Below are 18080 nucleotides of genomic sequence, written 5' to 3' on the forward strand. Positions count from 1 at the left end.
GAAAATCAAGCAGCACAAAAGAGGCCAACACAGGGAAGAACTGAGGCCTCTGCCAACAAACACCACCAACTTGCCAGGCATATAAGTGAGCCATCTTGGAAGCAAATCTTCGAGGTCCAACCTCCATCTGAGGGTAGTCCCGGCCAACATGTTGACTCAGTCTCATGAGAAACCCTGGGTCAGAACAGTGCAGCTGAGCCACCCTCAAATTACGGCCCCCAAACAGAGAGATAGCAAATGTTTACTTTTGTTTTAAGCACACTAAGTATTGGGGTAATTTGTTACACAGCAATAAATAACTAATATAATTCTACTTTGATTCTTCTTTCAGTAATGAAACCATTAACTGTTAAAATAAACACGAAATTTATATCCCCAGAGAAGAAACCAGCAAAGTTATATAATGCTTCACAGGACTTCCACATGCTGCTGTGTTGAGAACCATATTATTGCCTAGGCTCTATGACTTTGTAACAAAGACTCTAAGCCAAGCAAAGTATTTATTTATTGCCTGTATGGAAATATACATAAAATAATCTTTCTGTTTCCATTTATTTCTCCTTGTTTTATTAGTCTACACCAGCTATTTCAAACACAGCATTGTGGGAAAGAGTATCAGTCTGGACTTTGGCATTTTTGTCACACTGTTTCATTCCTTAGCTTCTAAAGTGTCTCTTTTTCTTAAAATGAGAAAGATCTTTAAAAAGAGCCCCAAAACCTGTGCATATTGTTTGCCATCTAGTTCTCACAAGTTAAAAATTAAGCTGGGAGGGACGGGGCCCTCGACTGCTTTAAACCCCACTCTCGGCATGGCTACCACAGGCCCTGCAGCCAAGAGTTCCAAAATTTTAACTGATGAAACTACTTCAGGAATGTCATTTCTATACCCAGATACTTCCCTCATTCACTGTATTAGGCTGTTCTTGCACTGCTATGAAGAAATACCTCAGATTGGGCAATTTATAAGAAAAGGGGTTTAACTGACTCACAGTTCTGCAGGCTACACAGGAAGCATCGCAGCATCTGCTTCTAGCGAGGCCTCAGGAAGCTTCCAATCATGCTGGAAGGCAAAGGGGGAGCAGACACATCACATAGCAAGAACAGGAGCAAGAGAGAAGGAATGAGGTATCACATACTTTTAAATAACCAGATCTCATGTGAACTGAGTGATATAAACAATTCCCATCAGGTCCCACCTCCAACACTGAAACATATGAATAAAAAGTCATGAACTTGCCATTTATAATATAGCATTAACTTCATTATACGACTTCTTTGGGATTATTGTAGGTAAACTGCTGCAGCAACGTGAATGTATGATCACATGATGTCAATAGCTAGCAATTTCAATTAATGTTAAGTGAAACTCTAATTGAAAATTGTCAATAAGGTGGGGATTTTATGACAAAAATAAAACAATCACCATTTTGTGACCAATAAAAATATCAATGAAGTGAGTACAATGGGGAACAACTGAAAATTGTGAAAGTAAATGGACCATAAATGCCTAAATGGATTTTTAAAGATTTTTTTCCAACCACATCTGTAGATTTGATTGATCTGTACTATCTGCCTTATAAGCATCAAGGAATTTATTCTACTTTTTTTTTTAGCATACCTAGAAATCCCATGCAATTATCACTGGAATTAGAATGCTTTAACAATTATAAGGTCGTTGGAAATAACTTCAGAAGTATTCAGGTTTATTTTCTGTCTATCCTGCAGTGACAAAGCATTTGTTTATTGATGTGAGGTATATGAAGTCTTAATCTGCCGCATGTAGCACCAGATTAAGAAGAGAATTCCTACCATGATCAGGTATTTCAGAGAAGAACTACTAATTTTCTGTTCTAGTTATCCCAGAAAGATACTGTTGTTGATGTTTTTCAAGCTACCCATGCTTAACATCCAAATGAGCCATGCCAAGGCAATAAAATTTCTGGTCAGACAATATGACAGACAGTAGTGACATTCAAAATAATTAGCAAACTGAATAGCTCTACATCCCAATCAGAATCAAGACTGCTGTAGTACTAAAACAGGGTTAGAGACCCCTTGCCATACCATGAGTTAACCTAGTCTAGGGGCCGAAGCAGCTGTGCAGTTGGAGAAACCATATTTAGGGGAATTCAAGAAAAAGGCTATTAATAATAAGGAGAGAATTACTTCAATACTTTAATAACTAATATAGCTGTACTGCATATGGCTGATGTCAACATGGCCTGACAAGATAAAAAGCAGTCTTTAAAATTATTCCAAAGATACTGTCACTGCCTAACTCATGTGTGGAACATTTTTTTAGAGTTGCCTTCAGAGCCAGTTTATAAACCATACAAGAAAAAGTCTCATTAATTTTATAATACCTCATTTTTTACCAAAAATGGTATTACACAACTTGTTCACTCACATTATTCACCATACTTGGCTCTGAGTGGCTTTTAGCTATTTCCAAAAATCAGACTCAAACTCCAAAGACAAAAATATATTAAGGATATATTTTACAACGTTTTATGCAGTATCTAAAGCAACTCCAAATGAGGAAAAATGTTAACTGTACTAAGTTCCTATAACATGCTGTTACAGTACTAAAACTTACAAATAGTTATCCCATTTAATTTTACATAATTTTATTTTACATCATTGACCACTTGAAAGTCTGAACTCCAAGACAGCAAAAATTTTAAGACAAAAACTCACAACACTATAGAGATATTGACTTCATCTTATATGATAGCCTATGTCCTAATTATAACTTCTCGCTTTAATTACTAGACTCATAGGTAATAACATATTGAAAGAAACAGGACAAAGTTTCTGAATACCTTAAAGTAAACAGAAGCTAGGATTTATTGGGTGCCCATTACATACCAAGGCTACCACATGTTAGAACTAGTTTTTGCACAAAATTTAAAAGACTATATTTGGCCATGCAGTATGTGACATTTCTACATATCTTGGTATTAACCAACTGCTAACTGAAAATAATTTCTATTATTGTACTTTTTAACAACATTTAAAGCACTTACTATAAAATAGGCATGTGTAAAATCATTATACATTATATTATTCCCTACAATATCCCTGCAGAGTTGGTACTATTTAAATTATTGTTTTATAGATGAAGAAATGGAGGCTTAGATATATTAAGAAGGTTGTCTATGGTGACAGAGCAGAACCAAGATCTTAACCCAGGCACCCTGATTCTAGAACCATATTCTTATCACTCTGCTGCATTGAAGGAATTGATGAGAACACTGACATATGTTTGTGTCAGAGTTTGAGCTGCTATGACAAAGTACCACAGACTGGGTGGCTTAAAGTTAACAAAAAAATTGTGTGTTTGTTATAGTTATAGAGACTGGGAGTTCAACATCAGGGTGATTGCGTGGTGAGTCCTGGGGAGAGCCTTCTTCCTATTGTGGACTGCCCTATTTCCTCACATAGCAAAGGAGGGCAAGAGAGCACTCTGAGGTCCTTTTTGTATGCGCACTAACATCATTCATGAGGGCTCCATTTCATGACCTAATTACCTCCCAAAAGTCTCACTTCCAAATACAATCCCATTGTGTTTGGAATTAGGATTCCAACATGTAAAATTTGAGGGACACAAACATTCAGTCCATTGTAGCTTGCTACTTTTTAAAAGCAGAAATGTTCTTATATGCTTGAATGAAGTTTGTTCACTCTTGTATGATTTGCATGCAAGTGGGCACAGAATGAGTTGACTAACCCAGAAGACAGAAGAGAGAAAGAAGGAGCCTGCATCATGTGATAGAAGAAGCACCCATTCTTCAACATCCCCTAAATATCTTCACTAAAGTAGGGCTCAGAATGGCTGAAATTTCCACTGCAAATTCATCCTCTAGGAAAAGCAACAATTACGTTGTCTTGACACTTGTGTTGCCAATTACATGTCACAAGTAGCTACTTATATACTGAAAATATATGATTTTTAAAGTTATTTACTTTTTAAATTTGTTAGAAAAAGTTTTGTTGTTCAACATATGCACAGAAAATTATAGCAAACATATCTGTACATTTTAAAATGTAGGAAATACTCTGATGTGATCACCTCTTGGTAGGAAATAGGGCAAAGCCTGTACTGAGTGCCTTTCCCAATCTCATCTCCTTCCTTCCTCTCAAAAGACAGTGACTCGACTCATTATCCTGACTTCTGTGGTTTCATTATCTTACTTGTCTTCAGCTTATCATCCATATAGATATCCTTAAATATTATATTTTCAAATTTTGCCCTTTTTAATTTTATGCAAATGGTATCATCCTGTATATATTTTTGACTAATTTTTTAGCATAGCTATAGCATTAATCTATACTGATGTATAACAGTATTTTATTTTCATGGCTATATATAGTTTTTATTGTATACCCCAATTCATTTATTCAGTCTATTGTTGATAGGTAATTGAATTATTTCCAGGTTTTTTAGTTACAAAAACAATGCTTCTATGTTCTAAGAATATTGTTCTTGAAAAACAACTCCTGGTCCACATTTGGAAACAAATCTCTAGGAATAGAATTGTTCATTACTATCTGCTCCTCTCTTATTTCATAAAAATAAAGGGCTGAAGAAGACATTTACAAGCCTTCTCAAAGCCATTTTTGGCCATGTGACTCAGTTCTTGCTAATGGAGTCTCGTGAAAAGGAGGTAAGACATTTTCTGGTCTAGGCCTTAAAAAATTGATATATACTTTCCGTATTCTCTCTCCCCTTCCCACACTCTGGGACACAGACATTCCTGCAATCCAGCTGATAGACCATGCAAAAATAGACAATACCTAAAAAATGACCAAGTAATGTGATAGAAGAATCATTGATCCTTGAATGACTGTGTAGAAGAAGCCACTTCTAAAACTGGACCATTCACTTGGAACTGTTGTTATGTTAAATAAAACCATACCCATCAGCAGATTATGAGTTCTCATTATTGTAACTACTCCTTCACATTTGGCATTATTAGTCATTTTTATTTTTATAATTTTAGTGAGTGTCAAATGCTATCTCATTGAGTGTTAAGTTACATTTCCCTGACTGCTAATCTTTTTCATGTGATTTTTGCTCGATTTGATTTCTTCTTCTATGAAGCACATGTTTAAGTCTTTGGGCCATTTATCTATTTGATTGTCTTTTCCTTAGTAATTTAGAAGAGTTCTTTATAATTTGGGTGAAAGGGCTAGTCTTCTGTCCATTACATTTTTTGCAAATATCTTTCATTCTCTTTATGATATCTTGGTGAGGTTTTTATCCTAATGAAGTCAAATGTGTTAGATTCTTCTTTTATTTTTTGTGCTTTCTTTCTTGTTTTGACAATGCATAAGAAATTATTTTCTTCCCCAATATAATAAAGATTTTCACCTAAGTTCTTCAAAAAGCTTTAGGCCATTACCTTTTGAATTTAGTTCATTAGTTGACTCACTTAAGTTCTGATATGCTTTTTTCCACAGAAGAGTAAAGGGTGGAGTTACAACTGGCAGATGGGAATTCCAAATAATCATGGGTGTGCCTATGAGCATTTGTAGTTTATGTGAATACCATCATTCATCAGTATTGAGAAGGGAAAAATGAAGTTTGTGAAGAGCAGGTTGAAGGTATCATCTCCAGAAGTTTCCTTAGTGAGATTTAGTGGGAATAAATGCTAGACATTGGTGTTAGACACATTCTTAGTTACTCATGTACAGAACAGGCTAGTTCATCAGTGATTCATATGAAAGAGACATGGAGTTCTAACTTTTGGTTAACAAGCTAGACATGCCCCCAACAACGTGACAAGGTTGCTAAGAAATCTAATGAAATCTCAGCCTCCATTAAGAATACAATGTCCAGAACTCGAGAGATAATATCTCCCCTGTGGCTTGTACTAATTAGATAACAATTAGGCTCTTGCATCAAATTTCAATGCTACTCTTGAAGAGGTACATAGGCAAACTGGAGTTTATCACAAGAGGAGCAGTCAGGTTGGTGTCAGGGTGGGAAACCACTGTGTGTGTGTGTGTGTGTGTGTGTGTGTGTGTGTGTGTATACATATACAACAGTTGATGTGACTGGGAAATCTTAGAATGCAATCGAGTAGACGTTGATAGGCCATAATAATTGTGTTTAAAAATTTTAAACATTGCCCTATCAAAGAGGTGACACATATTTTGTCTATATTTCTCTAAGTAAACACCAAGAACCAATGGACAGAAGTTATAAGGAAATAGACTAAGTCTATTAAAAAGAATCTTAATAGCAGTTGGAGAATTTGTCTTAAAAAGAACTGATTAACTCAGGAAAGTAGTGGTCTCCTTCCCCAATACTGATGGCACTGAAATGGAATCTGAAAGATAATTTATCAAGGATGTTACTGGTATTAGCTAATATGTATTAGTGCTTACTACTGACAAGGAATATTCCATGCACTCTGCCTGCATTTTCCCATTTAACCCTCACAGCAGCCCTAGAAGATGAGAACTACTTTGTCATTATTCTCTACATAAAGAGTTTGAAGTTTAAAAGGTTAAATAATTGCCTTTGTAAAAGGCAGAAAGCACATCTATCTTGTGTTCAGAGAGAGAGTTCTCACCCACACTGCTTCTCACTTGTCAATCCTGTAAAAAAGATTTGCTGTACTGGGAGAGAAGCCGTACTGTGTGTCCATCCAATTCTGAGGCTACTTGATTCCAACAAAATTGAAATATATTATCTTGGAAGCTAAAACAGTAACGAAAGTAGACAGTGGAAGAAATGGGAAAAGGGACAGGTAAAACTTAATAAGGAAGGGAAAAGTCTGGAAAGATTGTATGTGCAAGGCACTGGTCCAGGGAAAATACATTCCTGGCTGATCGTAGACAAGGGATATTGCCTGAAGTTTATATACACGTGAGAGCAAGGTGATGAGGAGTAGAAGGCAGTAAAGACATGAGACTCATAAAAATTTTTCTTGCCTTAGCAGAGGCATCATTTGGCCATGTCATATGAGGTTCCAAACACTGCATTTTGTTAATAGTCAGAAAGAACTAAGGAAAACAAAGAAAGAATTTCATTTCCCCCATCAAGTATCAAGAGTCTTGCAATGAGCTTACTTTCATTATTTTTCTTGCAAGTAATTAATACCACTCTTTCCTTACAGAAAGCATTCGCAGAAAGATGGTAATTAGATCCAAATGGACAATTTGTAAGGAGTCATTCATGAACGGCTTGATTTAACAAATATTTATGGAGTGTTTACTATTTGTGAAGCATTTTTCTAGACACTGGAGACACAGCAGAAAATAGTATTCCCCTACTCCTAAAAATAATTACCCCTAAAAATAATTTCCTATATTTTTTGAGTGTATTTTCTGTGGCAGAAAGGCAACACACAAAAAAGATGAACATGTAAAATTTAAGGTATGCTAAATAGTCATAAGGGCTAATGAGAAAAATAAAGCAAAGAAAGTTGGTATATATGGAGAATTATTGAAATCGTATAGGATTTTAACCAAATATGCAAATTAAAAAGAAGAGAAGGAAAATGGTCATGAAAGGGGGATGTGTTGAGGCTCATGTGGATTTAGTTCATGCTTATGAATCACAAGTATTGTGAAAGGTCTTGTAGCAAAATGAAAAGGGCATTAGACACATCACTTCTCTTATTTTATCCTCATTTCCTCATCTTTAAAATGGGAATTCTAATATTAGACCTGTTGGCCACAAAAATGTGGATGTGTGTCTCTAATGAGTCATTGAATATGAATGCAGTCTTCAAAATGTAAAAGAGTATATACATGTAGCTTCATCTTATCACAAAAAATAATTTATATTTTCGATCCCCTCTTCTTCTCTGGGTCTCTGAATATATATGTGTGTGTGTGTGTGTGTGTGTGTGCATGTGTGTGTGTGTGTATACACACACATATATTTATATATATATACATATATAGTCACAGATGTGTGTGTATATATATATATATATACACACATATGTAAAAATACAAATACAGACAAAAAGAAAGAAGGAAGAAGAGAGGGAAGAAATTTTCTATTGAAAGAAAGAAAGATACACACATATGTTGGTCCAGTCCATCTTATAAGTCATACAATGTATCTAGTACAAACATTCTGACAAGGAATAAGCATATCTGTGGTGGAAACCCAATAGTAGGGTTCTTCGAGTCTCTAAACAGACTAGGGGCAACAGAATTCTTCTGTATTTGGGTCTCCCTGGATTACTGAAGACTTTGCAGGGCTCTTTTAATCACCTCCTGAAATGCTGGTTTCCTTCCTCCATCCAAGAGACTCGACAAAATGGAACTTGTCAACTGTGCTTACGGCAATAAATCTCCTTTCCAGCATTTCTCCTGACATTCTAATGCCTTCCTGAACATAATCAAAAGGTCATTTTCCACCTGTATTCATCTTCTCCAAGCTGCCTTATATTTCTGCAAATCCAAGTTTCAACAAGTTTGATTTCATTCCTTCTACAGTATTTTATTTGCTTTAACCAAGCTAAAAATCCCACTGTCACCCTATGTTGTACTCTAATAGCTTGAATGGGGATTATACTTTTTTGGCTGACTGTATAATGTGGATACATTTTGAAAGCTGAACTGCTCCTTTTTCTTGAATGACAGAGAATTAAATGCTACCTTTCAGATATTGCCAAAGGATTTCTTATGATTTTGTTTCCCACATCAATTCAATAACTTTCTATGTATCAATTGTGCAGAGATCAGCGTTCTCACCTACATACAAAACAATCCCCCAGAAGCCCTCAGACTTGAACAGGCCTTTCGCTGTGCAATCCACTCAGCTGTAGTCATGCATTTCACAACCCTGTCCACAGTTTCTAGAGGAGCAATTCTATTATCAGAATTTGCGAACTTATGCATTCTTGATTGCTGTGGATTTCTTTTTAACTAGAAACAGTTGTATTTAATTTTGGTAGGTTCATATTATTGATTTAAGTGCAATCATCGTTTCTAAACAACACTATCAAGAATACAGTGCCATTTATAATATACGTTTATTGGGGTGGAAGGTACCAGGAATATCCCCAGAAAAATATATGGGAAAACCTTGGACTTCATCTTGCCAGTGATAATGGCAAGAGACCGGCCTGTATTTGCTAATTTTGTTTAACATATTTGTGACACTCATCTACCTAAGTCAGTCTGTCCACTTCCCTGAAATGAGTCAGCGGCTTATGATTTATTAACAAGGCAGGGCTTTGGCCTTTCACTTGGAGGAACAGAATCCCAGGACGATCTGCGGGAACCACAACCTCACCAAGATCTCCTCTACACAAGGCAGGAGCCATAGTTTACCCGGGGGCCGGTGTCGCCTCAGCCTCCTCCGGGAAAGCTCCGAGACAGCGCATCCAGAGCTAGAGCGCCGCCCACCCAGCGGTCCTGGGTCAGCTCCGCGGGATGCAGGACAAGGGTCCTCGGCCATCGAAATCACTCTCCGCTCATAAAGACACGGTTCCTTGTAGAGGAAGGATTGGTGTACCATTTGGGACCCTCCCAATCCCCCAGAAGTATCAATGGCCCTTGCTCCGAACCGCCGGGTGCGGAGACGCACGACAGAGCAAGTGCCCACTGAGAAGAGCAGCGGAGAGAAGAGGAGAGAGAAAACCAGGAGGGAGAGACTGAGCCCGCTTCCCCGCCTGTCGGGTTTCGGGACCAAACGCATCTCGGGCTGCTGGGCCCCGGAAGGACGCAAACCTCGGGCAGCAAAGGAAAAAGACCTCCCCCTCGCGGGCCCTGGGGCTGAAGGAAGAACTCGGTTGGAGGAAGGGAGGAGGAAAAGGAAACGCTCATCTTTTCCCGTTTTGTTTTATGTTTTGGTTTGGTTTGATTTTTCCTCCACTGAGCGCAAAACAGAATCAGCCGCGACTCTGGCTGGCCTGGAGAGCATCCATTATTTAATGAAAAACAAGAGATCATTTTTTTTCTTCTTCTTCTTTGAAATAAGTTCAGCAGCACTTCCCTCTCCCTCTCCTCCGTTCTTCTCCCTTGCCCAATTTACCCTCTCCACCATTTTTACCGTTCCCATGAAATAATTTTCCTCAGGTTTTATGTCTCGTGTATCAGGTTTTCATCTGCTCAAATGCCTTCAGAACATACTATTCCGCTAATGTGGACTTCCACTCCCAATGTTCCAGTCCTTTCCAGTCCAGGGATTTCTTTAATAGGTGAGGTTTGTCCTTCCCTTCCTTGGCCCTGTAACAGGAACACACATTTTCATTCCATGCCACTTGCATTCCAAACCCTTGCTGAGTTGCTATTTTGCCTGCAGGCTCTCAGAGAACATCAAAGGAATTTGGCTTTGACTGTCTTTAGACCCTGGGTTGGTCCCTATGGTGGAGCTGCTCTCTAGATTTGGAATCCGCACATCTTCACTCTTTTCTTTAAAGCCTATTTCAGTCCCCAGCAGTAAAACCATGTAAAATGCTGAGGCAAAGCTGTGAAGGAGGTTAGTTTGACTTATATACTTATATTCTGCACCTCCAACCCAGCTGTTGCCATTTTCTCTCCCCCCTCTTCTTTTTTCCTCATCTAATTTCTCCTCTTTGTTAGAACTTGAGTTTCTGGCATCCAAAAAGTTAATTCAACTTCCTTGAATCAGATATGAGAAAAGAGCTGGAATTTGACATTTTGGCTGTGTTGTAAAGTTGTATCACACAAGCATTCATTCAGCAAACATGCATTGAGCACTTACTATGGGCTAGACATTGAGAAGAGGCCAAGGTGCTAAAAACATAAATGAGGTTTCTATTGCATCACCTTCTCTCCTCCCACTGCCTTACTATCTCTTCCATTATAGCCATCTTTATCATCACCATTTTTTGTAATATTAACTAAGTCCTTAATATATGCCGGACATTGACGTAGGAGCTTTACATGTGTTTTGTCATTTCAATAATATAAGGATTATCTGAGATCAGCAGCATATTAGCTCCATTTTGTAGGTGAGAAAACTGAGGATTAAAGAAGCTAAGAAGCTTCCTCAAATGCACACATCTAACATGTGTTGATGCAGGGGGTTGTAAACCAGACAGTCTGACTCCAGACTTGTGGTACATCCCTTCTAAGGAGTCACTGTTTTAGTGGAGGAGTCAGACTTGTAAACAGATAAATGTATCAAAGAGGTAAGTGCTAAAGCTGTAGAAATACAGTGGCAGCAGTGACTAACACTGCCTAGGGGAATCAGGAAAGGCTTAACAGACAATTTGACATGTGAGGTGGGTCTTGAAATATGAGTGGGAGTAACCCAGTCAAAGGGATGGGAGTGGGAGGTACATTCAGGCTGAGGGAACCACATATGTAATTAAACGGTTGAGAAAGGCTGCCATGGTATGTTTAGAAAACAGTGAGTGAAGCGTAGAGTTCATGACAGAGTGTTGTGATATGGTTTGTGAAACCAAAAAGGGGCAAATATACAACTAGGGGCAAGAATGTCAAGGACTCTATAGATCTTGCTATTAAGTGTAGCTTTCATTGTGAAGATTAAATGACTCCAGCAGAGATTTTAAAGAAAGGAAGTGACATAATCAAATTTGTCTGTGTCTGTCTGTTTGTGTTAAGATGAGCAGGGGAAGTCTGGAGAATAAAGAGAAGAGCCAGATGGCAGGGACACTGGTTTTAAACTTGCTATATAGATATGAGAGGTGATGAGGGCCTGGGCTGGGAGTAGTGAAACTGGAAAAAAGGGATTTTTGCTTTCCAAAGAATATTGGCAATAAGACTTCTGTTTCTGGAATAAAAGGCTTTAGGTACAAAGAATTTCATTCAGAACAAGGAGGCCTCTTAAGAGAGCACCAAACCAGCCCTCTTCCTTTTATAGGTATAGTTAAAGTCTATGAAGCTTAGGAAGATGAAACCACGCAATCAACTAGTGGAAGAATAACAGCCACCTTTTATTCAGAGACTACTATTCACACATTTAACATTCTGTAATACATTTGACCCACATAACGACTTTTCAGGGTAAGTACAAAGCTACTCTTAACTGCGCTCAACAGAAGAGGAAGCTAAAGTCAAAAAGTTGATGAAGGCTACACAGATAGAGACAGAACAGGGATTTAAAATTATAGTTATCTAATCTCGCAATTTGTGTAGTTTTTATATGCCATGTGCTGAGATTGAAATTTAGGCATCCTTACTCTTAAACTCTGGTTCTCTTCACTAGTCATTGATGCCTTTATACTCTGTTAAATGCATTTCAAGCATCACTGGGCACACATCCCTGACTGTCTGCCTACTCTACCAATATGCCCTAAAGCAGAATTTATTATGGATTCATTGCCTACCAAACACACTAAACAAAATATAATGATGATCTTTTTTAAAACTTGAGGGGTTTTAATGGTGAAAGACAGAGCAAATATAAATGATATTAACATGCAACTACAGACATAGATAATCGAAACTTCCTATGGCTTAGACATGAAGGATTAGGGGATATTGAGAAACAGCTAAGGTTTATCAGCACTTTCCTGTCCCAGTGACTTTGCATGTATTATTTTATTTGAGAAAACTGACTTGGAGAGGTGAAATAACTTTCTCAGTGTCACACAAATTCTAAATAGGTAAGCCAGAACTCAAACTCCAGTTTATCTGACACCAAACTCAGGCCGTTATGCACTGTGTTGCTGCTGTTACAGTGGCCAGTGAAGACAAAAGTCAGCTCCATGGACCATATTGTACTAATAAATGTTTAACAACCAGCACTCAGAGAAAAAGCCTTTATTTGTAGTATTTGGCAATTTCCAATTTCTGCAGGGCATAAATAATGCCACAGTGGCAGATTTCAAGCTGCCAACATGACATCACTGGAGGCTGCATTGAGAAGAGATGTGCACAATCAGCTCTGGAGAGCCTCCAGCATACAATTGTACCATGGAGGAAGAGATGCTGGAGCAATATTTTAGAGGCAAAGTGGGAGAGTAGGTAATTTTTGGAGAAAGCTGGGATAATGAATAAAGGCTGGAGCAGGGATTGAATTATTCTTCAAATAATTATATTTGAAGAAGATAGACAGATTAAACTAAGTGTGGTTAGACCAAATGAAAAGAATGACTTAGGATTGGCTGAGGGCAGCTCCTTCCTTAAAATGACCATTCCTAAGAGTTGGCAATTTTCTTGAAGAAGAAGACCAAAATATTGATTTATTCCATCTGAAAATGTTTGTAGGCACTTGTTTTGATGACTGCAAAAACTGAAAACATACCTCAAAGATTGAAATCAGGAATAGTTGAATACAAAAGATTAACTGATATGAATTTCTGGCTATTAATCTACTTTTTTGTTTCTTTATAGCAAGGATGACAGCAAACTGATGAAGTTGGTATATTGATGGAAAAATTTATAATAAAATTTAAAAGAATAACTCACCTTCAAAACCTGCTTGTATTGTCAAACTGTTTGAGTGTACCTTATATTGACCTTGTATCCAGGGGAAATAAATGTATTTGCAAATACTTCAGATATCTATTTTGTCACTTTATTTCACATCTTTCTAAGTATAAAACAACACCAGTGCTTCCGTTATTCCCCACATAATTAGATAATGCATAGGATAGTAAGGAGAAAAAAACATTATCTGGTACCTGCAAATAATGCGCTCTTTCCCTCTGAGCTGATAATCTAGCCCTTTAAAATAGGAAAGGATGAAAATAAAATTAGGTTTCCCACGTTGCAGTATATTTCTATTTTCCCCCCGCTAATCAAAAGGTCCCTGTTGTGCACAATCTGGATGGAAAAGCCTATTAGTCCTAAGAATCAAGTAAAAATAATATAAGGAAAATGAAGTGGATGTCTGTCATTTTTGTGTGCTCACTGGGGAATGATTTTCTGTCCCTGTGATTTTGAGGTGCTGTCAAACATGATGCCCTCCTGCTCCCTGACTACAGGGGTGGACACAAGACTACCTGATCAATCATGGTACTGGATCTTCTTGTTCACAGTAAATTGCTCAAAAAATGGACCGAGTCAATCAAACCTTTTCCATGAAGTTTTCTCTGTCTTAAGGATTTCAGTTTCTGTGGCTATAAGCTCAGATCCTCAGGTAACCATGTTTTCAGTAAAGAGGAAGGTGGGCTGTAGCAAAGGAAATTGAGAAAATAAAGACAACCAGAGGCACGTGGAGCTAAAATGTGGAAAGAAGGACAAAGACCCTTGAAAACTTTGCTCAAATGCCTGGCTCCTGCTATGCTTCAACAAATACACACTTCTGGAATTTCTGGTGATTTAAATCAGTAAGTCCCCTCCTCATCTTTTTGGTTTTTTTTAGATGGAGTTTCGCTCTTTTTGCCCAGGCTGGAGTGCAATGGTGCGATCTTGGCTCACTGCAACCTCCGCCTCCTGGGTTCAAGCAATTCTCCTGCCTCAGCCTCCCATGTAGCTGAGATTACAGGTGCGCACCATCATGCCTGGCTAATTGTGTATTTTTAGTAGAAATGGGGTTTCACCATGTTGGTCAGGCTGGTCTTGAAATCCTGGCCTCAGGTGATCTGCCCACCTCGGCCTCCCAAAGTGTTGGGATTACAGGTGTGAGCCACCATGTCTGGCTCCCATCTTTGTTTCTTTTGCTTAGGCTGTGTAGAGTTGGGTTTTGTTGCTTTCATTACAAAAACCACAGAAAAAAAAAATTCCTTACCTGAGGACAAACTCCTGCAGGCTGGCCGGGATTATACAAATAATGTCTCCTTAACTTTTAAAATAATGTCTCCTTAACTTTTAAGAAAAGGGGGAAGGAGGTGGTAGTGGGAAATTACTAAGAGCTAAATTTCTTTCTTGGCCTATATTCTAAGATAAGCTAATTTATTCTATTTTTGTTTCTCTGACCTATGACTCATCTCTCTTTGGACATCTCTTTCTTTCATTGGCACACAGACCACAATACATTCACTGCTCATTCTTTGATTCATAAATTATCATGGCTTTATTATTTAGCTCAACATGGTAAGTCTTAACAAAACGGGCCAAAGATAAGGCATTAAGCTGGGAAGAAAAGAAAGGAGAGAAGAGATGTTGATCATTTTCAAACTGGAAGGACAAATCATCACTAGGAAAAGTTACTTCAACTTAAATTTCACAGCGGGAATTTATGCAGATGGGGTAGAGCTACCTCAGGATAGAGTAATTTGGGAGTTTTTCTGAGTCCTTCTGGGAAGATCTCAGGAGCTGGAGGCAGTAGGAGGGAAGGCTTGAGAATAGAAGATGACTCAGCTTCTGGTGTGGGACAAAGCTACTGATATGAGTAACTAAGGCCCACCTTCTCAGTCTGGCTAAATGATGTGATTCCCACCCTGTATGTGCATCTCAAGCTTCCCCTTGGCGTTCCTTTAGCTTCAGAGGCTACATCTAGTGTTCATTTAATCCCGGCCTCGATATTTGCCTCAGTCCTGAAAAATCCAAGGAATAAACATGGACTATGCACTTCTTGAAATGTCTTTGATTCTAGAAAAATTAGTTGAGAAGTACACCATTTGTAGATTCTGTGCGTGTGTGTGTGTGTGTGTTTGTGTGTGTGTGTGTGTGACAGGGACTGGCTCTGTTGCCTAGGCACTATCACAGTTCATGATTCACTGCAGCCTCCACTTCCTGGGCTCAATCAATCTTTTCACCTCAGCCTCCCAAGTAGCTGAGACTATAGGTGCACACCAACATACCCTCCTAATTTTTTGTTTGTTTGGTTGGTTTTGTAGGAACTGTAGGAACGAGGTTTCCTTATGTTGCCCAGGCTGGTCTCAAACTCGTGGGCTCAAGAGAGCCTCCCAAAGGGTTGGGATTATAGGTATGAGACACTGCAACTGCACCAGTTGGAAATTCTTTTCTAATTGGATACATTAACCACTCTTGCATAGGATGTTTCACTCTGTAACTTGGATGCCATTCTCCATAGTAAGACAAATAATTTTCCTTATGAGGTATATCAGTTAACTAGTTTTAACAGCATTTTAAAACCAGAAGCCAAGGTCTGAAATAATTTCATCTACCTCCTTACCATCTAGAACACATCACAGAATTCTGGTGATTTCAATGAAAGCATATACATATTTATAAATCTTTTTATGCATTGGCTTATATAACTGTTTTATATGTATTGCATTTTCTCACAAGCTTTTCACCTTGAGGTACAATTATTAAGTGAATTTCTTTCCCTTACAAAGAAAAGTAAACACATTAAACACCTCCACGTAATGTTAAAATGCTGGACATTAAATTAAATTAAATATTTGTCCTATAGCACTGTTAGCTGAATAGGTTATGAATCATCTATGTTTGTGGAATACATTGCTTAGAATTATAATTTTGCCAAATTCACCCTGTAAAGAACAAAGTATAAAGAACACTGAGGCTTAAATTCTTTAATACTTAACTAAGTCTGTAGACTTTGCAATATTGGTACTGCATCCATAATCATGCCTTAGTGAAATGTTATACAGAACATCATTCAGAATGTTTGCTCTGAAAAGACTTTGGATAAATGTGCCGTATTTGAAATTGATTAATGGTGTCTGATATGCATCCAGTCTTCTTATTATCCCAAGAATTTGACTTAAGTTACAGGGTATCTTGTATATTTACCCTACTTGAAAGACATAATTTGCATTTAAACAAGAATGGTGCCCATAGCTGTGTTAATTTTGATTAAGTGTTCTTCCTCCCGGGACCTCAATTACCTACCTCATATGTTATATGAGGTAGTTACATTATTCCAGTGGTTTATCTAACTGTCCTGGAAACCCTTAGAGTGTCTACAGGAGGAGGTGAAACCTCAGGCTGCTTACAAAGATTCAGCCCAAACAGCCCCACCTCTAACAGCTTATTAATTACCTTGCACAATAACTCATGTATTCATGAACCTGACTTTTTGAATCCAATAGTGTCTACTATGTGACTATTTTAAACATATGGAAGAATGTAAAACAGACACAAACTTCTGTCCTCATTGAGATTTCATTCTAGTAGAGAGACAGACAATAATCAAACTACATGAGTTAAATGGATATTATGCTATATGGTGATAAACTCTATGGAGAAAAATGAAGCAGGAAAAGGAATTTGGGGGCTGGGACTGACAGTTTAAATACTTGTTTATGGAAGGCTTCAATGAGGAGGTAAGCTACCGTAATAACTTGGGGAAAAGAGTTCCAAGGAGTGGAAAGAGCAAGTGCAAAGGCACCGATGTGGGAGTATGCAAAGTACATTTAGGAGCAGTGAGGAGACTACTATGATTTGAATAAATTGAACAAGGGGCAAATATAAAACTGGACTTCAGAGTATGCATGTATTAGAAGAAAAAGGGTTGCTTTTAAGCATTGAAAACAGTTCACTTAAGATACTTCTAAGGCCCTGAAAAGCATTAAAATTCTAAAGTTCTTTCTTATAATATATGATCAGTGATCCTTGACTCCATGTTATTAATACTTCTTTTTTTGTTAATCAATAATAGAGTTTTTGCTCCTTAGGGAGCAAAAACATACATTTGTCCAACCATCGTTTGTTAATACTTTCCTGTGAACTTAACTATCTTACTTAAGAGGAAAATAGTATGGAAAATTGGGGCCTAGTAATTAATTAATTAATTAGACTTTCTAGAAATCCATTAGATCCAAAGTGACTTTTTTGCTTTAGAAAATCAAATATATATTATTTTCATATTTTTACAGTCATTATATATTCACCTCATATTCCTGAATAGAACTATTGCAGATCATAATGGGTAATAAATATATATCAAAGAAATTAGAGATAACTCTGGGAAACTTCTTGAAAATATATAATTCAAGTTGGAATTTCTTTAAAGGCATCAAACACTTAAATAGCCATACCTTGAGTCATTTTCTACTTACTCAAAACTAAAAGACCTGCTTATTTCAGTTGAAAGTGGGAAAACTTTGAAGAGAAATCCTCAAGTTAAGGGGTAAACCCAGACTCTTACACTTTTTGTATGTAAATTTATACACTTACTGAAATCACCCACAAATTATGAGTTTTTAATACACTGAGAGTTTTTGAAATTCATTTAATATAGTGTAAGTTTCATAGTCAAATAGCGTAGCTAAATTCTTTCTTCATTCCTCATGTCTGAG

At 37.6% G+C, this 18080-nt stretch overlaps 3 annotated features.

Annotated features, from left to right (window-relative positions):
• Positions 8897-9715: an enhancer, noted in NCBI's record as "H3K27ac-H3K4me1 hESC enhancer chr3:105072122-105072940 (GRCh37/hg19 assembly coordinates)". NCBI's record gives its function as "activates a minimal SCP1, AML or CMV promoter by ChIP-STARR-seq in primed H9 embryonic stem cells {active_cell/tissue: H9 hESC(primed)}" and the evidence as "EXISTENCE:reporter gene assay evidence [ECO:0000049][PMID:30033119]".
• Positions 9304-9393: an enhancer, noted in NCBI's record as "active region_20193". NCBI's record gives its function as "activates an Ori minimal core promoter by ATAC-STARR-seq in GM12878 lymphoblastoid cells {active_cell/tissue: GM12878}" and the evidence as "EXISTENCE:reporter gene assay evidence [ECO:0000049][PMID:35858748]".
• Positions 9434-9583: an enhancer, noted in NCBI's record as "active region_20194". NCBI's record gives its function as "activates an Ori minimal core promoter by ATAC-STARR-seq in GM12878 lymphoblastoid cells {active_cell/tissue: GM12878}" and the evidence as "EXISTENCE:reporter gene assay evidence [ECO:0000049][PMID:35858748]".

This window comes from Homo sapiens, chromosome 3, assembly GCF_000001405.40.
Source record: "Homo sapiens chromosome 3, GRCh38.p14 Primary Assembly".
In the NCBI taxonomy this organism is placed as follows: Eukaryota; Metazoa; Chordata; class Mammalia; order Primates; family Hominidae; genus Homo; species Homo sapiens.